The 26963-nt window shown below is 34.6% G+C and overlaps 1 long non-coding RNA gene and 2 pseudogenes across 2 annotated transcripts in view; 1 reads left to right on the top strand and 2 right to left on the bottom strand.

The window, feature by feature from the left end:
• On the bottom strand, positions 2880 to 26597 carry NBEAP6 (neurobeachin pseudogene 6; annotated as a pseudogene).
• Positions 24264 to 25876, top strand: TOMM40P1 (TOMM40 pseudogene 1; annotated as a pseudogene).
• Positions 26019 to 26963, bottom strand: part of LINC01297-DUXAP10-NBEAP6 (LINC01297-DUXAP10-NBEAP6 readthrough) — a 115486-nt gene continuing 114541 nt past the window's right edge. For both annotated transcript variants that reach the window (NR_164308.1, NR_164310.1), the window contains one exon: positions 26019 to 26596. This is a non-coding gene — a long non-coding RNA (LINC01297-DUXAP10-NBEAP6 readthrough). The remainder of the gene's footprint in view (positions 26597 to 26963) is intronic.

The raw sequence follows: 26963 nt of genomic DNA on the forward strand, positions 1-26963 counted from the left end.
TGGCGCTTTTTTTTTTTTTTTTTTTTTTCCTGCCACAGGTGCCTCACCTATCCTCCCTCAAACCTCACCTTCCCCTCATGGGCCTTTTGTCCGCCTTGAGGTACCCCTAGCGGCCTGAGGCGCATCCTGGGGTGGAACCAGGGACGCCAGGGTCCACTGGGCCCAGCGAAGGGGCTGATGGGAAGGCACTTTCGTCTGTGAGGGACCCAGGCCCCACTCCTCTGCACGCGAGGTTTTTTTTTTTTTTTTTTTTTTTTTTTCTCTGCCCCAGATGCCTCACCAGCTACTTGGGAGGCTGAGTCAGGAGAATTGCTTGAGTCTGGGAAACCGAGGTTGCAGTGAGTCAAGAGATCACAGCACTGCACTCCAGCCTGGACAAAAGAGTAAGAGTCCATCTTAAATAAATAAATAAAGAAACTAAAGACGTAATAGGCATCACTGAAAAAGTTGGAATTAGTTAATACAGGGAAACATTAGGATGAATGATATAAAAGAACTAAAATCAAAATGAAAATAAGTATGCTGACTCCTCACACTCTCTTTTATCTCCATGATGAAATAAATACAATTTAAATACCAAGATATGATATACCTATTAAATGAGTTTTGAGGAAGGACAGTAAAAAGTAACCATGCATCTTGTATTAATGAACCAGATAACCTATTACATATGGTTTTAGCAGTAAGATTTGATAATATATGTATTTCATATTATTTCATAAGAAATATTTAAATTATACATGGATTTTTCTAGTGGCTACTTCATCTCCCACTTCTTTTCATAGTACTGACTAGATTTTAAATTACTGATCATAATGTGTCTTAGTTCACTGAGATGATAAATAGCAAAACATTTCGAATTTAAATAAAGGAAAGAAATTTTAAGTTTGATTTTTCCACTAAGCTGAGCTACCTTCCAATTAGATTATTTGAGATCTCACAAACAAAATAGTATCACAGCAGGACATAACCTCAGGATTCCTTTTCACATCAAAGTTTTTTACTTTCAAAACTCCAACCTTTACACAATATTGATATAAACGGCGGCAAGACCCGTAGACGGGAGGTAATGTTATAAATGTACAAATTTCTTATCTATATTTAGATTTATACTTTACATAAAGATGTTCCCAAAACAGAAATAATATTATTAGAAATACTAAAATTGAATTTCATTAATACCTAATTTAGATAATAATTATGAGAAAAAGCATGTATTACACTTCATTGTACCTTAAATTTTTCCCATACCTTCATTCACTAGATTCACCATCAATTCAAAATTAGATAACCCATGAAGGAGCTCATGTATATGTATATATACTGATGAAGCACTACTATGTTACTTTTGGAATAAAAATTAATGCTTATCTATATAACTTGCCCATTAAAATCCCCAAGCATGGCAATGTGTATAGTCAAAATAGCTACTAGAGTTCATTTTTAAATTCTTGTATATATAATTCTAAGATATAACAGTAAATTAGAGTCTGGCACATAAGGTTTTTTTAAATAAAAGAGAAGCTATAAAAATGCACATGAAATTACACTCATTAGAAGAGATTTAATTTTTACATAAATTTGGATTTGCCACTAGTTAGATTTGAGTCCTCAAACATAAACTATATATAAATAAGGGTTGATGTCAATTAATATTATGCTAGACTTATGCCACGACAAAAGCATCATAAAATAATACCAGTCTTTATGATATAAATTATGTAATTGCTAATAAATATTATTCTTCTGAATAATTTTACCCTAGTAATTTTCTTCAACCTGACAGGGTTTCATGGACAATTCGAACCATGAGTATATGCAAATGATAAGGTCAGGATTCATATTTTACCTCAACTACATATTATAATCACTATGCTATCTTTGTTAAGGATTTTCTATTTATTGTCACAAAAGGCATTCCTTTATGGTATAACAACCTAAATGTCAGGGTTTTCTTTATTTATTGTATAAATATCTATCTGCATTAGTTCTAAAAAATGTATTAGCACTTTAAGGGCAGAACCCAAATACTGTAATACATTTACACAGCACTGAGTACATCATGTATAGTCTAAGTGTGTATAAAATACCAGCAATTGTACATGTAAAGAAAACTTACCAGACAGTTGTTTCCACTTGACTGTCATTGAGCTGCCAATTATCCAACTGGGGAAACAGTGGAAAAAGCACTTGAATCTGTCCAATTGAATGAATTGCACTATGAATTGAATGTGTTACTATCCCTTTCACATCCTATGTCTAAAAACAAAAATGTTTATTAAACTTCTATAGAATGATTTTCATCACTATTTCCTTGGTCCAAATACGTTTATAAGGGAATTAAATAACATAGTTGGAAATTTTTTAAGCCTTCAATTATAATTTTTATACACATGTAAGACAAAAAAGTGAGTACCTTTGCTAATCACTTTTAAATTTCAAATCTTAGGTCAACCTAAGATTTTTTTTTACACTAAAAATATGAAGTTAAAATCAAATGTTATTTTAAAATCAGAAATACTATTGATGGATTTAAAGACAAGTAATTTTAATGTTACAGAATATTAGTAATACAATCTTAAAGCAAAGTATGTTTTTATATCTAACAACTAACTGATTCAGTTAATTGATTTAATTTGAAAGGCTGTATAATATATAAGATAATAGGTATGACAGATTTCCTACTAAGGAGACAAGGCCAGGGTAGAGCATATTGCTACAGAAAAGATAGACATTCTTTAAAGTTTCACTTAAAAGATCTGCAAAAGCCAAAAAGAAACAAAAAGTCACAGATTTATAGATGAGCAATGTTTGATATATAAAATAAAAATATTGTTAAATTCTGACAAGAACATGAAAACAAAGCCATGATTCACCCACCGGAAGCATTAGAGCATGTTGGGAATGCACAAAAATTGATGCATCCTCTTTTGGTGATGATTCCAGGCAGAGTTGAGTATCAGTGGCCTTAGCAATTATATGTAAAGGCAATGCTACTTGCAAGTTTCCCATCATATAAAACCTGTTTATGATGTTCTGCCAAATGAATATCACTCTTAGATTTAAACTTGAAGGTACTCTGAAAAAATAAAACTAAGTTAAACACTGTTTTTAAAAGCAACAATTAAAAAGCCAAAGTTTTAAAGCAGAGAAACATTTGCAATAAGAAAGTACTTGTGTACCTTTCATGTGTCAGGGACTATTCAGTGGTGTTACTTACTTCGTTATAGTCACTTCAATTCAATGAGAGTTAAGTTTTATTATGCCAATAAAGATGCTCAGATCTTCATTTTCTAATTTAAAGTTTTTGATTACTGGCAAAATCATTTCATTAGAAAAAAATATCAAACCTGATTTTATATATAATAGGATTGTACTTGACTACATCATAGCATAAGTTTAATTTTTCTTGTTAATACTTTAAAAAGTATTTATGTAAATAAACAGTGCCTGACACATGAATTACTTACAAAAAAGACTATCATTTGAGGCTATAAAAAGTTAATATGCAAAAATATTCATATCTTTACTAAAAATAAAATCAACCTATGAAATACCAATGCTACTCAACAATAATATCACAATATACATACTAAACTCAGAAGATAAGTTTGTTAAAACATGTTATTACTTTTTATGAAAGACAACTAAACATATGCCATCTATAACAAGAAAGGTATTGTTAGACGTGGTTAAAATTGCTCTGCAGATATGAGTCTAATAATGATAAATGATATTTAACCTTTGCAATCATCACATATCAATATTACTATTACTTTCAACTTACAACTATGAAAGCTTAATGTTAAGAAATTAAGATTTAGAAGGGAAGGGGCCAGCATGTAATTCTAAGTCTTTTGATTTATAGTCCATATTCAATGTATCACTAGTGAAATCATCTTAAAATCCTGACTCTGCCACTAATCTTTTTCAGCTTAGGAAGTCTTTTAGCTGATGTGGCTCCAATTTTCTCACTCAATGTTATAATAGGGTTAAATCAAATGTCCCAAACTCAAGTTCTCACAGGAGGCACACAGATATGCATGTAAGCGAATTTGGCCAGATGGGGACTTCCTCAAACTAGAGAATGTTTGTCCTTTCTAAAAGTGGCCCCTACTCCTCAGTTCAAGTCAGTTGTTCAATGTTGCTAGTTCTTCCATATTTTTCAAGAGAAACATGAAATCCGAATTTTTATCTAAAAGCACTATATTTTACAATTTAATTAAAACATTTTAACACTGTGAAGACCAATCATGTCAGTTTTTACTTCTGGACTAGTGTGTAGAGACTAATACAAAACTGGATGCAAACTATTAATTATTAGGCATGTGCCAAGACAAGAGCAACATGAATAATTAAAAATTTGTGTATGCTGTAGTCTGAAGTATTTCATTGATAATACTTTTTTTTTGAATGAGGAGGGTAGTGTTATCACTAGAATGCTTAAGAACTCAGCATATCTGCATTCAAAAAAACAATGACTGAATTAAAACACACAAGATATGTTGTTAAACACTAAATCAGCTTTCCGTGTCTGCATTTTACAAATGCTGAAACATTTGTACATCCCATTGTCTAGAACAAAACTCCTGCTTTCATTTTGTTCATCTTGCTTACACTGGAATTAACAAGTTTTAATATATTATCTTAAAGGATTTAAAATACCTTTGTGGAAATGTAAGATGTTTAATAAAACCTATTCTTATTTGGAAATACATTGGTCTTAGTTTTTCTGAGTCCATGATACATACCATACCCTATTTTGGTTTGTAGGAGGAAAACAAGTTTATGTAATGAAATCTAACACTTTCAGGTTAAAAAAGTGTATAATGTAATTTAAATATAAACATGGAATCCATTAAATAAAACTAATTTTCTTATCTCCCCTTCTTTGTAGTATTAGGTTATTTCTATGTCTTTAAATTTATATATAAAGGCAGATGTGCACAATGGCACACACCTGTAATCTTAGCACTTTGAGAGGCCAAGGTGGGGGACCACTTGAGGCCAGGAGTTTGAGATCAACCTGGGCAACACAGAGAGAGACCCCATCTCTACCAAAAAATTAAAAATTAGCCGAGTGTGGTGTCACATGCCTGTAGTCCCAGCTCTTCAGGAGGTGAAGTGGAAGGATCACTGAGCCCAGGATTTTGAGGCCACAATGAGTCATGATCATACCACTGCACTCCACCCTGGGTGACACAGTGAGACCCTGACTTTAAAAAACATTTAAAAAGAAAAAATTTTACATAAAAATATAAGCCTTTATATAAATATCAATATTTATTGTATTATTTCTTTCAAAAGGGTTTTCAGAGGAAGAATTGTTATCTAAAACTGTATGAATAGGACACGGATGAGAATGAAGAGTGATTGCAAATAGGCAGGTAGGATCCTTCTGGGGTGATAGAAATGTTCTAAAATTAAATTGTAGTGATGTCTGCACAACTTTGTAAGTTTATAAAAAATAATTGACTTGTACACTTAATATTAATGAGTTGTATGGCATGTAAATTACACTTCATTAAAACTGTTATAATTATTTCAAAAGAAGAAAAGAAGGTATGAATATATTTTGTACCAATTATACTCAAATGAGTAGAGTATTATGCATGCTTTTCAATACGGACCACTTCAGCATAACAAAGAAGGTGGATGGAAGCAAAGTTATACTGAGCTAAGGAAATGACTCCAAGTGGTAATTGAATCTGCAGAAACAAATGAAGAGATTCATAAATGATAAATCAGAAGATCAATATAATAAAATCTACAAACATATACTGTATCGCCTTTCTTCTCTCAGCTTCTTTAAAATACACAATTATATGAAGTAATAATTATGTCATGTTGGGTTCATAACATATACAGATACTATATGTGTAACAATGTCACAAAAAACGGAGAAAACAAATAGAGCTATATAGAAGTAACATTTATATAACTCACTAGGATAAAATTAGTATAAATCTGAGGCTGATTCCAGTGAGTTAAGATGTATATGGTAAGCCCTAGTGCAATCACTAAGGAAATGTTTTTTTCAGTGAAAAAAAATTATTTAAAAATTGAAAATGCTGTATAAGAAAATAAGCACATAATCCAAAGAAAGTGGTAAAGAAGAAATAAAGAAATAAAAAGAACATGAGACACATAGCTAACAAAAAGTAAAATGACACATGGAAACCTATCAATAATCACATTAAAGATCAATGAAATAACCAATCCAATCAAAAGGCAGAGATTGTCAGACTGGATAATAAAGTAAGATTCAATAACATACTGTTTATAGAATATTCAAAGATAAAAACATATTTAAAGTAAATTAAATGGGAAAAATATCAATAAATCACAAGAAAGCTGGAATGGCTGTGCTAATATCACACAAAACAGACTTTAAAACAAGATATATTACTAGATATTAAAAAGACATTGGATAATGATAAAAGGGCCAATCATGAGGAGGATATAGCAATTGTAAACATATATGCACCTAACAGCAGAGTGTCAAAATACGTGAAGCAACATCTGAAGAAATGAAGGGAGAAATAGACAAGTTAACAATAATAGTTGGGCACTTCAATACTCAACTTTCCATTCATAAAATCAAGAAGGAAACTGAAGACTTGAACAAAAACCAAACAGAACTAACAGACAACTCTAGAACACACCATCCCAAAGCAGCAGAATACACATTCTTCTAAAGTACACATAGCTTGGCTCAGTGGCTTATGCCTGTAATCCCAAGACTTTGGGAGGCTGAGGTAGGAGGATCACTTGAGGCCAGGAGTTCAAAACTAGCCTGAGCTAGCAAGACCCTGTCTCTGTAAAAAACTGAAAAATTAGTCAGACACAGTAGCTTGTGCCTATAGTCCCAGATACTCAGGAGGCTGAGGCAGGAGGATCACTTGAGCCCAGGAGTCTAAGGCTCCAGTGTGCTAGGACTGCACCACTGCACTCCAGCTTAGGTGACAGAAGGAGAGACCCTGTTTCCAAAAAATACGTACACACAAAACATTCTCCTGGATAGACCAAACTCAGGTCATAAAATAAACCTCAATAAATTTATGAAGACAGATATAATACAAAGTATATGATCTGTCCAAACTGGAATGTTAGAAACCAATAATATATGGGAATTTGAGGAATTCACAAATATGTGGAAATAAACACATTCCTAAATAACTGATGTGTCAAAGAAGAAATAATCAAAAGGGAAATTACAAAATATTTTGAGATGAATAAAGGCACAAATACCAAAATATATGCAGTTAAGGCACTTAGAAACTTATACGTGTAAATGTTTGTATTTAAAAAGAGGACTTCAAATCAACAACTAAACCTCCCACCTTATGACCCTGGAAGCAAAAAAGCAAACTAAACATAAAACAAGCAGAAAGAAAAAAATAAAAAGAATTATAGAAGAACTTAATGAAATAGACAATAAGAAAACAACTGTGAAAACACAATAAAATCAAAAGCCAGTTCTTTGAAAAGGTCAACACTACTAACAAGCCTGTACCTAGACTGATTAGCATATTAATATTATTATCTCAACAGATACACAAAATGTCTTTGACAGAAACTAACACTTTTTATAAGAAGCATTGAACAAACTAGGAATAGAATGGAACTTCTAACTAGCAAGAAAAAAGCATCTATAAAAAACCTACAGCCAACAACATAGTGCAATTTGTTGCAGGACGTCAGAGCATAAGAAGGGTAGGAAGGGTAGGTAGGAGAGCTGCCCAGTTCATGAAGTCAGAATTCCAAAAAAGTGATAAGGCGTCTACCTGAAACAACAAGGAAGAGGCAAGTGGGTTGTGCTTTGACATAAAGTTTCTGAGTATGTGCAAGGTAAGGAAGGTTAGGTACACTAAAGGCTTCTCTGTGTAGAGATTCAGAGCCTGAAAAGGGTGAGAAGGCTTCCGCCTGGAGGAGAGGGCAAACCATCGGAGGCAGCTGGACCTAGAGTGGGGGTTGAAACTCATTCATTTGGTGTGTGGCTTGACATGTTGGAGCCTGGGCAGCCAGAGAAGGGCATCCTCACAGAGGGTTGCCTGGCTCAGTTTGTTGTAGCCTGAGGAAGATGAGAAATACGCACAAAGGGAAGCAACCAGGCAAGGGAAGGCACAACACCAGCAGGGCAGGGAGCACATTGCCTAAAGGAGTAAGCCAGGGTGGGGTGTCAAGAGTTCTAGAGAGAAGGTAGCATCTGAATAAGAGGGCTGCCCAGCAGGAGGTAAAGAAACCCGGGGCTCCAGAAGGATATAGGGAAGGCATCAGCTCAACAGCCTAGCTAAGTGTATTGTGCTAGAACTGAGGAAGGGTTAAGAGGGCATCCATGATGGAAGGTAACCAGAAAAGAAGCCAACACCTGCCTCAGGTTAAGAGGGCATCCATATGGAAAATGAAGGAAAGACTGAGAAGCTGTTTGATGCATTATAATGTAAACGCAGTAAACTGGATCTTTTTACTATAAAATATACAACAAATAGCAAAATTTTAACGGGGTCTGAGAATTAAATGGTAGTAACAAATCATTGCTAATCTCTTGATTTTATGTTACAGAATAATTATGTGAAAGAATGTTCTTGTTTGTAGCAACATAACATTCAGGAATGATGGAGCATCATGTCAGTAGTTACTCTCATAGTTCAGGAAAAAAACTGGCATAGTGCTTGTAGCTTTTCTGTAATTTTTATTTTACTTTTAAATTTAAAAATGAGAGAGAAATAAAGAAGGAGATAAAGATTTAAGAGAAAGTGAAATAAAATAAGTGATTTAAGAGGAATATTAAAGATAAGCAAAGTAAATAAACATGCATAGTCAAGTCTCTGGAGAAGAAAACCAAAGCAAGGAAACAGAAGAAATTCTAAAAGTATAGTATAAGAACAATTTCTTAAAATATGAAAAGATGCAAACTACATATGAAAGTGCACACCATATACCTGAGAAATTAACTCAGAACGACCAACACCAAGACATATCTACCAAAATTATTAGATTTAAGGAAAAAGAAAAAAAAGTCCTTTGAACATCTAACAAGACTGAGTGTCTTGTAATGGAGAAGATATTACATTGTCAACAGACTTTCAATACTAATACCTCATGCCAGGGAAAAATTAGTAGCATATTTAAGACATCCAAAGAGAGAAAGAAAAGTCAAGGATTTTATAGCCAGGCAAAATGACTTTCAAGTAAAAAATATAAAGCACCTTACAAACTAGTATCAAAATGCATTTCTCAAGAAATACTGTTTCCATGAACTCTTCCTGAGGAATCTACTACAGAAAGAGCTAAAACACAGCCAAAACACATCAATATAAGGAAATAATATGAGCCCTAAACACACAGGTACTTATAGGACTATGATTAAATAAGAGTTAAGAGAGAATGGTATGTAATAACTGTGTGTGCTCACAATGTAGATAAGACCTTGTATGAGCTTGCTGGATCTGCTATGACAAAGTACCGGAGTCTGGATGGCTTAAATAAAAGTTGTTTATTTTCTCATAGTTCTGGAGGCTGTAAGTCTAACATATGCGTGTAAGCAGGGTTTTCTTCTGAAGACTCTCTCCTTGGTTTGAAGACAACCTAACTACCTTTTCTTCCCTGTGTCTTCACATGGTCTTTCTTTTGCATGTGTCTGAGTCCTAATTTCCTCCTCTTTATAAGGATACAGTTATACTGGATTAGGACCCAATAACCAAAATGACCTCACTTAATCTTAATTACCTCTTTAAAGACCCGTCTCCAAAAACAGTCACATTTCAGGCTACTGAGGGTGAGAATTTCAATGAATTTTAGGGGAACATAATTCACCTTGTAACCTACCTCAACTATTTTAAAAATGGCAAGAGGGAGAATGAAGAGAACGCATGCAAAAACAAATTAACTGTATTTTCAGTAATTATAACAATTGGGCATTATTGATATTATTATTCTGAGGCTGTTCTTTATGTATAATTATGGGATTTTCTAATCTATTATCCTGTGTGTATTTGACAGTATCCTCAATGAAGAAAGGAGATTTAACTTCAAGTAGGTCAAGTTAAAACACCACACTCTCCTGCTTTTTCTCCTTATTCCCTTGCTCTCCTCTTTCTCCTTTGCTGCTTCCTCTGCATCTCCTCAACCTACAAACAGTGGCTTTCCCAAGGACTCATTTCTCAGTTATCTTTTTCTCTGAACTCACTTCATTGGCACGTAAATCCAGTCCTTTACCTTTAAATCCTGTCCATATCCTGCCAATGCCAAATTTCTATCTCCAACCTAGATGTCACCTCTAAACTCCAGACTTACTTCATTTTTCCATTTAGATGTTTATTGGGCATCTCAAACAACTATGCCCATAACCTATGTCCACAACCTAATATTTGATCTTCTCTGCCAAAACTTATTTCTTCATAGTCCTCCCATCTCAGCAAATGACAACTCCATCAGCTCAGTTGTTCAGGCTGAAATTCATGGGGTTACTTGCTCCTGTCAGTCCTCTCTTGCTCCCTTACCCCATGTTCACAGTGACAGAAAATCCTACTGGCACTACCTCCAAAGTATATCCAAAAGCTGACCTTTGAGAGTCTTAGATATTTTAGATATGCTTTATCAAAAATCTAATCAAGTCTCAATACTTTCCAGAGCTCTTTCACTAAATAACTGCAGCAGCCCCCTAACTAGTCTCCCTATTTCCACCTTTTCTCCCTATTTACCATAGTAACCAGAGTGATCCCTTTCAAATTGGTATCAGGCCAGTACACCCAAAACTTTTCAATGGCTGTCGCTCTCACTCAAGAGCAAAAATAAAGTCATAACAATCCTCTGAAAGCATATAGTTGTTCTCTGAATTAATCTTCTTTGACTCTCCCCCTTGCTCCTTCTGTGACAGTCACAGGAAAACATAGTCACAGTGTTCTTTAATCTGTGAAGTAAGCTTCTGCTAATGGCCTTCATTCTTGCTCTGGCATTTACCCTTAAAGCTCTTCCCCAGATATCCACTTGGCTAGCATCAACTTCCATCTTTTTTACCTGCTTTGTGTGTCTCATAGCTCTTATCACCATATACACACTATATATTTTTCTTTTGTTTTGTTATGTCTTCTCCCATGATACTGCAAACCCTACTTCTCCAAAATACAGGCAAGGGGTTTTTGTTGGTTTTGTTTGATTGTTATGTCCCTAGCATCTAGAACAGTGCCCAACTGTTTAATAAAAGAATGAATGGATGAATTAGTGAAGGCTAATTATTTGTATTTAGTTAGCATTGATGTATTTTGTTTTCCTTTCAATTGGGCTTTTGTTATCTTTAATTTGAAAGAGGGGTCTACAGCATATGCTGTGGGTAAATGAAATACCAGATACATACCTATCATTCAAGAAAAGACATGCAATTTTGACTTTGATAATTTTGTTTTAGCCATTGAATTGTCGTCAACATTCTATCAAGACACATTGCAAAATACATAACTTTTCAACTACATAGGTGCATTTATAGCCTCTCCCCAAATCTTTCTGTGAGTTATCATACGTATTACATGTATATACACTGAATCATCCAGGTTTTCTTCTTTAGTCAGTAATGAGAGTCAAATAACAACAAATTTTTAAAATTTTCTTTCAAAAGACCTAAAGAATATTTTCACTGGATAAAAAATTCTAGGTTGACAGATTTTTTTCTTCCTTTCAGAACTTTAAAGATTTTGTTCCACCTCTATGGCTTCCCTGCTTTCTGATGAGATGTGTACAGAAATTCAAATTATTGTTCCCTTATCAGTATCTAGTTTTCCTCTGCCTGCTTTCAAGATTTTCTCTTTATCTTCGGTTTTCCACACTTTGACTGTAAATGCCTACTTTGGTTCTCTTTGCGTTTATTTTGGTTGGAATTTTCAGAGTTTCTTCAATCTATAAACGTAATCCTTTTACCAAATCTGAGAAGTTTTCTATCATCATTTAGTCAAATATTTTTTCTGGCTCTTTCTCTTATACTGTGCCTATTAGACCTTTCAAAACTGCCCCCATACATCTCTATGGTTCTATTTTTTCACCCCAATCTTTCATAAGTCTCTTCAGATTTTCTATCAATCTATATTCAAGTTCATTTACTTCTCTATAATATTAATTCTGCTAATAAGCCCATAGAGCCTATTTTTAATTCTGATATATTTTTCAGCTCTAGAATTGCCATCTGATTTTGTTTTATTTCACGGCTGGTACTTCCTATCTTTTAATTCATTATAAGTAAACTTTTCTCTACCTCGCTAGTTACAATAGACCTCATGTGATATTTCCAACATGTGGGTTATCTTAGAGTTGGTATATGATGATTTTCTCTTCCCTTGAGAATAAGTCACATTTTCCTGACCATTTTTAGAATAAGTACTTTTGGATTATATGCTAAATAGTGTGACTATAACTCTGTACAATATTATGGAGAAACTTTCTGGCCAGAAAATTTCCTATAAAAGCAAAAAATGGGGATATCAGTCCATGTAGACTGACTGTTCCATATTTTGATTCCCCTCCAAAGCTTGCCTGCTTTTATTCAATCTCCACAACCCTCAGATAGATGTTATCTATATTATGTGCAGAGTTTACAAATGGTTATTTGTGAGAAGATCAGTTTGTTAGGAGCTCACCCCTCCACACAAGTATTGGAAATCCTCTGAAGTGATTTTTAATTTTGGAGGTTGTGTTATACTTTTTCTCTTATCAGTTAGAACTTTATTATGATATAGCAAATTATAAAAACCATTATGCTATCATATTCATAAATGAAAGAGAGAACTCAAAGCTAAATTTTCAAATATCTGGCCATGAAGACTAACTGCTTGCTACACGGGATTAAGAGAACAATGAGAAAATGTCTAGTAATAATTATGAAATATAAAAACTTTGTTAAAATCTGATTTGCAAGCTTTTGTCAAAGGGCCACCTCATACAGAATCTTGAAGACATTAAATAACCCCAAATAGAGATCCACAGTAAACCTATCTGGTAGTAAATTTTACTATACTAGACAAATCTACAGTGAGATTTTCTGTATTTTAAATATTTTCTGTATTTCTGTATTTTCCAAACTGAATGGTTTATTTAGTTAATAAGTCATACCCTAACTTATTTACCGTTTCCAGAAAATAACCAAGTACAGAATATTTACTGATAAGATGCAATGCTCAAAACCAAATATTCGACAGAAAAAAATTTACCTAGCACTACAGTGACCAACAAGTCAAAATCATTTGTGACAGACTCTATTGAATATTTAGTTTGATGACATTATTTGAAGGTAGAATTAACTTATTTTATTAACTTCGAAGCCCATATGTTGACATGCTATCCACACTAAGCTCAGAATCATAAATTTTGTCTGACCATTACAATGAAAGAAAGTTCCATATAACTTAAGGCAATAAATATAAATACTATGTTATTATACAACACTACGTAATTTAAACTCCATTTGTGATTTATCCAAATGTCCATTAGTTATTATATTATCTACACCTTAAAAATTCCACTGTAGACCTCCACCCCTTCTCTCACAGAGAGTGACTTTACCAAGATAATTGTGACTATAATGTGTGAACTACTCAGCTTTTCCGTCAAAACACAGTCTGATCATTTGCGTTCCTCCTTCTCTATGTTCTCTGAATTTCTAAAAAGAAAAAAAAAGCTTTTTAATATAAAAAAAATTTGCTGATGCCTGTCATGGTGCAATTGTACTTACAATATTTACAAATTGAGAAAATGCATGTACCTGTGGATTTATCATCCATCCCCACTTACAACAAGGGTGCAGTAAGCTGAGAACTTTCAAAACGTAATAAAATACTATCTGATGTAATGCCCAAATTTACAGGTATCTCTCTTAAAAGTTCTGACTTTAGGTACTCTACTGTGTGTTAGGATACTAAGGATACTATACTATGTCACATGAGCTGTGCACACATGATGACCGGGTTAAAAAGAATGACAAGATGACTGTTGTTAAAAAGAATGACAAGAAAGACGTGTGAAAAGAATACTACCAACTACAGAGTTTGCAAAACTGTTCAGGACACAGTTTGCTTCTTTGTGAATAGAATTACAAAATTGCTTATATTCAGCCTTTTTCCTTGATGTTGCCAGGAAGCTCCCATCAATTCTGAAATTTCACATTAGCAATCATATTGGATTTGTATTTTCTTGATATTCTACCTTTTTATATTTCATTTGTTTGCTTGTCACTGTATTTAATATCATTCTACTAGAGCTTAAAAAGACACTACAAGTATTTTATGAAACAACTCAAAGAAGTAGGAAAGAAAAGCAGGCAGCATATTAATAAAAAATGTGAATTACAAAAATATTCCTATGCAAGATCAACAATGGAAGAACCAGGATGCAAACCCAACAAAAAGACCCATGAAAGAAGAAGTAGCTGGACAAGCACAAATTCATTTCTAGAGCTAGTAAGACAAAAACAAAAATGATATGGAAAATATATGATAGCAAGTATTATTACCTTGACATAAAAATAATAGCATTATTATTCTTCAATATTATTATGGTTATTAAAGTCACTGAGAAAAAAAGATCTTTTAATATAGGTAAATTCAAACTTTCCTCTCTCTCTCTCTCTATATATATATATACATATGTGTGTGTGTGTGCGTATATATATATATGACATAAAAATAAAAAGAGAAATACCAATGCAAAAATACAAAGGCCAAAGAGGGACTTTTTTAAATGTTTTTCCTTTCCATAACACAATCTTCACATTAATTATTTAAATTGAGTTCAATAAATAAACCAAGCTTCCATACAAGACAAGTACTCCTTCAGAATTATAAACACTTTGAGTATAATGTGTAATTCTCTTTCAGCTCCAAGTAGTTTGAGACTTCACAATTCCCAATGTGATTTAAACAGAACCTTTATATATTTCCCTAGCCAGGTGTACTGCACATTTAAAACTAACTCATATATGTGCATGCTATATCTTACCTAGAGTCTTTGTTCTTAAGAATCAATGAATGAGTTCATATTAAGTGCCCATTTTATAGTTACTGCTGTCAAATAGCATTTTAAGTATCTGTTTTAATATGGATGGTTTGATTTCTGAAACAACCTTTATTCTCTTGAGAGTTAATACCCTAAAATAGAGAATATAGAACTATTTTTTTCTAAAGTATAGAAAAATACAAATGATCTATAAACATTTGAACAAGTATGCTTTCTGAAGTTAAGAGGGGAAAATTAACTGGTTTCTCCCTCCCACCAAAATATAAAATACAAACTTTGTTCTACAGATTACTTGAATGCACTATTCAATTATTTCATATATATTTTGAGAAATAAAAAGTTATAATAATCCTTAATCACTAAAATATTAGTCATTTCAAGGTATCTAAAATACTTTGAGAAAAATTCAATTTTGTCCATTTCAATTTAGAAAATAAAAATAGGCTGGGCACGGTGGCTCATGCCTGTAATGCCAGCACTTTGGGAGGCCAAGGTGCGCAGATCAACTGATGTCAGAAGTTTGAGACCAGCCTGGCCAACATGGTGAAATCCCGTCTCTACTAAAAATACAAAAATTAGCCAGGCGTGGTGGCATCTGCCTGTAATCCCAGCTACTCGGGAGGCTGAGGCACAAGAATCACTTGAACCTGGGAGGCAGAGGTTGCAGTGAGCCAAGACTGCACCACTGCACTCCAGCCTGGGTGACAGAGCAAGACTCTGTCTCAAAAAAAAAAAAAAAAAAAAAAACAAGGAAAAAGAAAAAGAAAAAAAAATAGTGTGTTAAAGAACTCAAAAAAGTCAGTAATACAAAACAACAGTGTGCTTCTATAAAAGCAAGGTCAGGTCCAGACATTTAACTGTCTAAAATGCCCACCCTTTTTTCAGGTTTTTCATTCCAGGTAATCGTTAATTTATTGCAAACTAAGTCTTTTACTTGATTCGAAACTGACATATATGTTAGCCCTGATTAAAATTAGAAGAGAAAATCTTTAAAGTAGTCATTTAACCATTGTTTCTAAATATTACAAAATTATCAAGAAGAAACCATAAAAAAAGAGCTTCAAATAAATTTAAGGAAAATCTTATAGAATTTTACATGTATAAGAATTAAAGTTTGCACATATTACCTTCACTGAGTTTGAAACTATCCAACCAGAATGCTATCTAAATAACACAGAAGACACAATCTTTATATTCTAGAGTAAAAGATAAAGTAGAGTAAAGTAAAATGTAAAGAAAACTTTACATTTCTTTTTTTTTTTCAGAGAAAGATATGCCACTTTTATAATAGACAAAGTTAACCTGCCTTAATTATTAGGAACTCTTATAAATCAACAAGAAAAGGAAAGCTATTCATTAGAAACATGAACAGGTGGCCTAAACAGCAAATTTACAACGAAAAAGAAATACAATGGCTTCTGAACATACTAAAAGATATTTAGCTTGTAATTGTAAATGTTTGTCTAGCATGGAGCTAACCTGCACAACGTGCACATGTACCCTAAAACTTAAAGTATAATAATAAAAAAAAAAAAAAAAAAAAGAACACAGGCGCTGTCCAACTGCAGCCTGGTAGTAAAGTTGCCCTATTCCACTTCGTTTCTCTTCCTACATTTCTAAAGAGAAGAGACACAAATAAATACCTATATATAGGCAAAGATTTCCTGCCCAAAGACAATTTTAAGATAAATACTAGATGTATTATCATACTTATTGGTGTACTTACAATTAAAAAAGTACTCATTCAAACAATACTTACTGAGTTCTTACTACTTCAGATAACTTAATGTACTGGGCAGGATAAATTTTACTTCCTAAAGACATGAATTGGGTTCCCAAATTACTAGCTCTATGGCTTTTGGCAAATTACTTAGTATCTCTGAACCTATTTTCATCTCTGAAAAAGGGGAATAATAATGCCTACTTTGTGGATTCCTTGAGAATATTATAAACAGATAATGTATGAAAACTATGAAGAAAAGTTCCCAATGTATTTGGCACCCATACATAACATACCATTCACTAAACTACTATTTTAATTTTATCTACTATGTCCTCATGATGAGGTTCATTTATGCTAAAGTTGATTATTATTTACCTTTCAGAGTCATTCATTCATTCAAAAAATGTACTAAGAGCCTACTTTATGCCAAGTACCCTGTCCCAACCTTGGATCATGGATATATAAAGACAGACAACATACGCACACTCAAGGAAGTTTCACTAGAGAAACAGTTATGAGAACAATCGAGAATATCTAAAATACAGATTTGAGAGTAATAAAAGTAATTACTATAAGTAACAGGGAAGGAAAGACAAATAGAGAAGAAAGACTATCATAGAAGTATTCACTAAAAGCATAAAATGAACCATAAGACTATGCTTGAAGGATGAAAAGGAATTGTTCAGTAGACAGGGGTAAAAAAAACATTCCAGGTGGAATCTTAATATGATACAGCACAGATGCTTGATAAAACTTTCTTCAGTGTGTAGGTTTAGAAGGAAAAACAAAAACAAAAACAAAAACAGGCAAAGACCAGATTATAAACAGACCTTTAGGAAACTGGCCTTTGTTTTTTGCATAATGTGGTATAACTAAATAATTTTGAGCAGGAAAGTTAAACGATCAGCTTCATAGTGAAGGAAAATACCTGGCAGCAATGTGGAGGTGAGATAGGTAGGCAAGTGTGGACAAAGATAAAACTGAAAAACCACTGCAAAGGTTGAGGTAAGACACCATAAGCCGCTGAACTAAGACAAAGTCATTAGTAATTTTAAAATGAGGATGGGAATTAACTAACAGAACTGATAGGAAGTGTTAACATACAACAGGGGAGTCTAAGATGGCTTCCAATTTTCACTTAGAGGGGTAAGGGTACCATTAACTTAAGATCATTAATACAGAAAAATTAATCAGATTTGGAGTTTATCAAGGTTTGCTTTTGGTTGTAACAATGATATATGATAAAATTAAATGAATAAATAAATGAATGCACTGATGAATTAATGAACTGATCTCAGTTAAGACCAGAGTACTTATTTATAAGAAAAGTAACTTTTCTCTTTCCTTGGTACATCAAACTGTACTCTACAGATAACAGACACAAGTGAGTTTTTCAATGGTTAAAAAAAGCCTAACTTTTGACCTTATATATGTCGACTAAAGAAAATAAAAATAAACTTGGAAACTAGCTGTGCATACTGATATTATGTATATATAGTGAAGTCTGCATTTAGTTTGAGACTCAAAAAGAAATTTATAGAAGAAGGACACAACCAGGAATAAGGGGAAAAAAAGATCCATATTAAGAATCCACAAGATATATATTACAAGTTGAAGATATGGAAATAAATTGAAGACAAAAAAGTACAGATGATATCAATAATAGCTAATATGTCTAGAGCACATATTACCATTAGGTAACATGCTAATGGTTTATACCCATTTTCACAAGTTCTAACAGCTGGTAAGCGGTGCAGCTGGGAAAGCAAAAGTTTTAATGTAAAGATTTCTTTTTGAAAGGCCAGTAAATCTCTTATTAGGAAGGATAACAACAACTTAGCTAGGGCATCTGTGGGAAATTAAAGAAAGGAAGAAATAAGAGAATAAATTTATTGTGAATAATGAAACACAATAAAAGCAAATACTTATGACTTTTCAAGGTTTTTGAGAATCTTCACAGAAGACTTTTTAAAATCCACATCATTCTCTGGCCCTGCTCCTAACTAGACCCTTAGTATCATTGCATATTGAGAGCTTTACAAAGGAGAATGTGTTTTCCACAAGTAAACAGTGAAGAAAACACAAAATAGAAAACGTGAGAACAAATGGGTTAAAGTGCTTTTTATTGGCTAATGACAATTTCATTTGGTTATAACTTCACTCTAATTGTTTGCATGTATATTCTTTAAACCACTGTTTCCTAAAACTGTCTGATGAGAAAGTTACCTAGAATATTCATTAAAAACACACAATCCTAACATGAAAAATTATAATACCAACAATCTGTACTTCTAATCAATTCCACTGAAATTCAAAATAATTTGGCAATTTTAGCAAACAATCTTGGTCTTATCTTAGTTTTAATAAAACAGAATGTCCAGAGCAAAGGCAATGTGATTGGTATTAAAGTAATCAATTTGTATTAAAAAAGAAAGAATACACCATTATAACGAACGAATATATTTATTCAGATCATTGCTTTTTAAACTATTTTCTAAGTATATATTGATGAATTATTGTTAAATTGATATTCTTTAATAGAAACCACAATTACTGACATTAAATATAAAACAAATATTTTCATTAGAATCATATAAAATCTAAACAAATTTTTGAAAATACCACCCAAAATATTTTTTTTTCTGTATATGACAAGACACACATCAGATCATAAGCTACAAGAAAACAAACAAAAAAGATATGAAAAAGATATAAAGACCTCCCCCTCACCACGTTTGGATTCATCATATCTATTATGATTGTACCATTAATCACAAAGGGTAAGGCGATATTTCTGTTAGGAGGAGGCAGTGTGCCCTATAAAACGTTGACAATCTCACTGTCATATACCCAAGAAAGAACCCTGAACCTGGAAGGGCAAAAAAGCCTTAAACATGTGAGATGGGAACTGCTATGCACTCTGTCCTTGTTTTCTTTCATCTGGACTTTCAGATGGTTTGTTACTCTGACACAAAGATGGAGTCCGGTACACAGGCAGGAAAATCTCTCTAGAAAATGCCACCCGATTATGAATGAATTATCTCTTATAATTCTAATTATACAGTTGCACATTTCTCTGCATTTTCTCTTTACAGCAGTTTTTAAAATGTGTTTTGACCTTGTTTTTGCTATTATTTGGGATATTAAGTAAAGACATATTTTATGAGCCAAAACTAACAGTACAGCAACATTCAACTCCTTGAAGCCAGCATTATTAAAGCATCAGAAATTAACAAAACCTCCACTCTTAGGAAACAAGATTCAGAACTACTAGGATTAGGTGAATCTCCCCAAGAAAACTATCTGTGCATTGCTTAATCTGGGGGTTTAACATTTAACTTTTTTAAAAAAGAGGCAAAGATTTATAACTCCCTAGTGCCTACAATGGTGTCCAATACTCAGTAAATAATAAGTATCTATTGAAAGAATGCCATAGAACAGATGAGACTGAGATAATGAGAGAATGTAAGAGAAATACACGCAAGAGATCAAAGCACTGACCTTACAGAAGACAAAAATTAGACATAAAAGTAAAAAGAAAATGCAAACAAGGATAAGAGAAAACCATTAAAAGCATAGGAAATCCAGTGAAAGAGAATGCTACAGAGGTCATAAAAGGATAGTTAAGAATTCTGTCATAACAAGTGAGTTATAAAAATATTTACTTTTACCTACCTTACGTGGTTGAAAATCATATTTCACACAATGCTGAAAACATTTTCCTTTGGACTTCGATGATGTGACTATAAAACAGTTGCCAACAAAATGAGCAGAGTAACCAACTCCTTTGCTAGCATGAAAACTGTAAAGACAACTGAGAATAGTATAATATCCTCTGATAAAAAGAACTAAACACCTAATGGCTATTAAACATTCCTATAAAAATAAAACTTATTTCCCTGTATGGTAGAAGGAGTTTAATATGTGTCAAATAAAAACTAAACAAAAATATAAAAGGTTGAGTTATAAGTAAATATAAGAAATTTAAACTAGGAAATAAAAGACTATGGAAGCTTTTAGTATTTCAATCTAAAATCTCAGAAATACATAAAAACAAATTAACTGCCAACAAAACCCTACCACCAAGTAGACTTTATCTACCTTTAAGGACCATTTGCAATCAGCAAATACAGAACACATTTATACAAAGTTCACATTTTAAATAACAACCTGCTCTCTAATTCTGGTATACCTTTGAAAATAGCATACAAATTAAAAAGAAAAAGGAAAAAAAAAACTTGGTCATAGTCAAGTTTGATAAATACTGCAGTTGATCGAGCAAAGCAGTACATTTTTAGTTTAAAAAATTAAAAAGATGTAACTATGAAATATGGTTGTTTTCTTCTACAGAAGCATTCCCTTAGCTGTAAATTTAATCATGAAGTAGAAAAATGTGTAATCATTGAAAAATGAAGGTACCACTGAAATTAATATATAATCTCCCAAAATGACCACTTTGAAGTTCAACCCCATTTATGTTTGGAAGTTCAGATGCTTATTTAAAACTCGCTCTCATGTTATCCATATATAGTATTTTATAATAGAGCTTAAAAGATAGTAATAGCGCACATATTTCTGTGCTCACATTTCTGACCCAGCCATTACAAAAGGGCTTTAAATATGATTCTCTCATTAAATCCTATGGGATAGGCACTATTCCTATCCTCATTTTATAGTTGAAGACACCAAAAGTACAAGGTGAATAGTAGGTGGTGAAGCCAGAACTTGAACACAGGCAGTCTTATTTCAGTGTATTGCAAGTAGTAAATGAGTACATATATATAAACACTTACAATGCCTAACATATAGAATGGCAATCAATGAATGTTTGATGTTCTTATAGGTAAGTATGCTGTACTGTGCATTACTGGCATACTAAAATTACAGAGGTTTCAATCCTTACAGATCAACACATTGTTAAGTTGATCAACTCATTCTAGTGGTTTTCAGTAGCAATCCATTTGGTTAAAGGAGATTGAATCCTTAAAGCCAAAAATGACTGAGCTAGAGAATGTTAATGGAATCAATATTGAAGAAATGCAAGCATTAAGAGATAATGTTCATAATGTTAACAACATTGAAACCAAGAAAGGCAAAGCATGACATTTATTACTCAGAAACATAACCACTGATATTTATAACCAAAAAGGATTTAGGTCCATTCATAAGCAGAAAAGGAATAATGTAGGACTCCTTTGAAAATAGCAATCAAATAAAATGTAGCCATTCTAAGGAATAAGTGAGAAAGTAGCTGATTATTTCACCTGACTTCAAGAAACATCCGAATGGATTTATTTATTTTCCTAGACTTTATTCAAATTCTACATAAAAGATAATTACCCATTATGACTTTAAAATTAATCTGTTCCCCAAAAAGATCCTTCACGTTGCTGATAATGGCCTTTCTCAAATACAACATGGACCTTCCATGTCAAAAATCTTCTGCATTCAGAATAAAATTGTAATTTCTTCAGGTTATACAAGACTTCCCACATGCTATGGCTCCAACAAACCCTTTCGATTTTATCCTCCTCTAGTACCCAACCCCACATTCCAAAGTACATCTAAATATACCAGCTGTTGCACTTGTTCTTTTACAGTTCCTCTTCCTATACATCACGTTGCTTCTATCCAAATCATTCTTCCTTCCGACAAAATCTCGATTATTCTTTAATAGCAGACTAATATGTTCCTCATCTGTGAAGCTTTTCTGGACTTCAACTTAGCTTGGTTTCTCTTTTCAATTGTGTCCCCATAGTTTTGAGTACCTAAATCTACAGTATCAGTTATAAAACAAGCTGTATTTGCATGTCTAGCCATCAGAGTTCTTCAAGAATAAGGAATGTAATCTACTCCAAACATAATGGCTGAAGATATAGAAAATACTCTGTAGGTGGCCAATAAATAATTTCAAAGTAGTCAAAGAATTCTAAGTGCTTGCCATGAAAAAAAGTACACATACACACACATACACATGCATGCACACATACACACTATTTCAAATGAGTTAAACCCTATACTAACCTTTCAGATTTTAGTGTGTAAGCAACTATTTCAGGCAGTTTTATTATCATACAATATAACTAGCATTTTATTATCAAACAAGATAGCTTTTCTTATCAATTTGCTATAAATGTTTAATTTAGCCACCTTCTAGTGACACTTTTACTACATTATTAAACAAAAAGTACCCCATTGAACTTAACATACTACAATACATTCAGATGTGAACAGTTAGAAGTGTTTTGGTGGCTACTGGTTCTTCCTTAGTATAATATTTAAAGTTTAATTTCTCTGTTAAAAAGCAAGACAGAGGTATTTTTCTGACATTTATTCTCTTTTCTCATATCCTTCCATCATCAAGCTCTTTTGAAAGGAAATACTAGAAATTACAAAAAGTGAAAAATTTTGTGTTATTAATATTATTACTGAGAAAAAGATAGGAGAATGAAGAAGCTTTATATAATGGCAATGTCAAAATATGAACTTCTATGGTACGATCACCCTCACTGTCACTTTTACATTTCAGTGTTGATGAATTATGTACTAGTAAACTACTATGCATGTAATTTTGGCTCATTCTCTAAACTGCACTCCATAGAGTAGCAGGCAATTTACAAAAAAAAAAAAAAATTAAGAGCTTAAACTCAGATATAAGAATTGAAGGATCATATGATGTTCTATAAAACATGTGTACACATAAGTCTATATTAATAAATTCCTATTAAGTAACTCTAGAATTTATAGAAATGCTACTATTAATATATCTGTATTAAAAAGGTATTTTAAGAAACAGATGTGTGAATCTCATTTTTCACCAAGTTAGCCATCGGTCCCCAATACAGGGGTGCTAAGTCATTATAAAAAAAGATACTTGCCACCCTGAAGGTAATTACGTATGATTTTTAATATATTTTCTCAGAAAATCAAATTTTTGGAAATATTTAAATTCAAAGCATTCTTTTTGCGATTTTGCATTCTTTTAACCCATTTTTCATTCCATTCTTTCTCATTTAATGTCTTGTTACATAAATTTTAAACATAATTAATTGCGTGAGTCAAAATGTTTAAGAGTATTCTCTGGTATCTGAACTACTTTGCAGGATCAGATATAATACTGTGGAGAGTAATATCAGCACTTTTATAATTATGAAAATGCTTTTATGTCAGAAGATACTTAAGCTGAAGATTCATGGGTTACAAAAAATAAACATTTCAAACTTTAAACTTATTTTCTGGAATGATACTTGCTCTGAAATAATATTCAAAACACTTTTCCGAAATGCATCTAGCCACACAGGAGAATGAGCATGCAAGGAGGTAGAGGGTCGGTGGTGAAAAAATTATAGATTTCAAAGTTATTGTTTGAAATAACCCAAACAAGCAAAACATTAGTATTTTTATCTTGAAATTCTTGGTGAATTTTATGTTCTAGCCCATAATATATTAGTTTATTTTAACACAAAAGTTTCTTCCAAAATGGACATGTCCAAAAGATACACCATGCTGGCGACGGGGGTGGCGGCGGCGGCAGCGAGTTCGGTTGCGCGTGGCGCACCGGGTGGGAGCGGAGACCAGGCCGGGAGCAGGCGCCACCGCCAGCGACCATGGGGAACATGTTGGCCGCCAGCTCGCCGCCCGCAGGGCCGCCACCTCCGCCCTCGCCGCCGGGCTTCACGCTGCCGCCGCTGAGAGGCGGCCTGGGCGCCGGCACCACTAGGAGTCGAGGTTCGGAACGGACCCCCGGGGCTGCAACCGCCAGCGCCTCAGGGGCCGCCGAGGATGGGGCCTGCGGCTGCCTGCCCAACCCGGGCACATTCCAGGAGTGCCACCGGAGGTGTAAGGAGCTGTTTCCCATTCAGATGGAGGGTGTCAAGCTCACAGTCAACAAAGGGTTGAGTAACCGTTTCCAGGTGAACCACACAGTAGCCCTCAGCGCAATCGGGGAGTCCAACTACCACTTCGGGGTCACGTATGTGGGGACAAAGCAGCTGAGTCCCACAGAGGCGTTCCCTGTACTGGTAGGTGACATGGACAACAGCGGCAGTCTCCACGCTCAGGTCATTCACCAGCTGGGCCCCGGTCTCAGGTCCAAGATGGCCATCCAGACCCAGCAGTCGAAGTTTGTGAACTGGCAGGTGGACGGGGAGTATCGGGGCTCTGACTCACAGCAGCCGTCACCCTGGGGATCCCAGACGTCCTCGTGGGTTCAAGAATTCTCGAAGCCCACTACCTCCAGAGCATCAGGCCTTGCCTGGCCCTGGGCGGAGAGCTGGTCTACAACCGGCGGCCTGGGGACGAGGGCACTGTCACGTCTCTAGCTGGGAAATACACATTGAACAACTGGTTGGCAACGGTAACGTTGAGCCAGGCGGGCATGCACGCAACATACTACCACAAAGCCAGTGACCAGTTGCAGGTGGGTGTGGATTTTCAGGCCAGCACAAGGATGCAGGATACCAGCGTCTCCTTCAGGTACCAGCTGGACCTGCCCAAGGCCAACCTCCTCTTCAAAGGCTCTGTGGATAGCAACTGGATCGTGGGTGCCACGCTGGAGAAGAAGCTCCAGCTCCTGCCCCTGACGCTGGCCCTTGGGGCCTTCCTGAATCACCGCAAGAACAAGTTCCAGTGTGGCTCTGGACTCACCATCGGCTGAGCCCTCCTGGCCCCCGCCTTCCACGCCCTTCCGATTCCACCTCCACCTCCACCTCCCCCTGCCACAGAGGGGAGACCTGACCCCCCTCCCTTCCCTCCCCCCTCAGGGGTTGGGGGGGACATCGGAAAGGAGGGACCCCGCCACCCCAGCAGCTGAGGAGGGGATTCTGGAACCGAATGGTGCTTCGGGATTCTGAGTACCAGGGGCAGTGTGCCCAGTGGGCATGGGGTCCCAGGAGGGATTCCGGAATTGAGGGGCACGCAGGATTCTGAGCACTAGGGGCAGAGGCGGCCAGACAACCTCAGGGAGGAGTGTCCTGGCGTCCCCATCCTCCAAAGGGCCTAGGCCCGCCCCGAGGGGGCAGCGAGAGGAGCTTCCCCATCCCGGGTCAGTCCACCCTGCCCCGCCCACTTTCCCACCTCCTCGGTATAAATCAAGTTTATCAGTTATGGAAGAACCAGGACATATAACAGAAAAAAAAAAAAAAAAAAAAAAAAAAAACAAAAAATATACGTGGGAAAAAAAAAAGATACACCATGCTTATCTAAGGCTTTTAGTACCTCCTGTCATAGTTGCATATATGCCAGATTGAGGGGCACAGAACTAGGGGAATTTGATAAAATGCTCATTATACAGAACTGTAATACCTATTGTGGCATTTTAATTATGTAAAAGCTTAATGAAATACTACATAAAAAGATACTGTTTATTTTTCTGATAGATTTCATAGCACTCCGTGGTACTGAGATTTTCTAAAATTTAGAAAACAACATTAGTAATTATATTTGTCTACTATAGTAAGTATATTTTTCTTCTTTCACTCTTCAGGTTTTCCATTAATATAAAAAGTAAAATTTCCATACATTTCCATTTATTTTAAATCAAAGTAGTGTCAACAAATCTACATTACCTATAGAATATAAAGAGAAGTATGTGAAACTTTATAAACTTTTAAGTTATACTTCCCTAACAATCAACCCCATACCTGCTCTCATGTCATCTACAGCACTCATTTTCAGCAATACTTGTTTAATTAGCCCAACTTCTGTGCTAGTCTGTACATTCCAAACACTTTTTCATAGAATGGCTGTAAACATGCTCCCTATTTCTGCTTGACATGTTACATCACAGTGCTCTAAAAGCTCTGTCATGCGTATTATACTCTCAGCATCCTGGATAATAGAGTTCATCTCCAGTTCAAATTCTCCACCAACCAGCTGAAAGTAAACAGAAAGAAACAATAGTGTTAACATGGGAGGTTACTGATAACAGTAGAATAAAATAATAACAAGAGTTCAAATCTACTACTCTAAAAAAGTTTCAAGGCTTTTGGTGTAAAATTACTTTTTATAAAAAGTATAAGAGCTACAGATAAATGACAGGCATTGTAAGCATTGAAACTAGCGAACACTGAAGGCGTGGCCTGCCGCTCCACACCTGTGGGATATCTCATCGGGTGGGATGAGAGACTGAGAAAAGAAATAAGACACAGAGACAAAGCATAGAGAAACAACAGTGGGCCCAGGAGACCAGCACTCAGCATACCAAGGATCTGCACCGGCACCAGTCTCTGAGTTCCCTCAG

This window comes from Homo sapiens, chromosome 14 (genome assembly GCF_000001405.40).
Source record: "Homo sapiens chromosome 14, GRCh38.p14 Primary Assembly".
NCBI classification, from domain to species: Eukaryota; Metazoa; Chordata; class Mammalia; order Primates; family Hominidae; genus Homo; species Homo sapiens.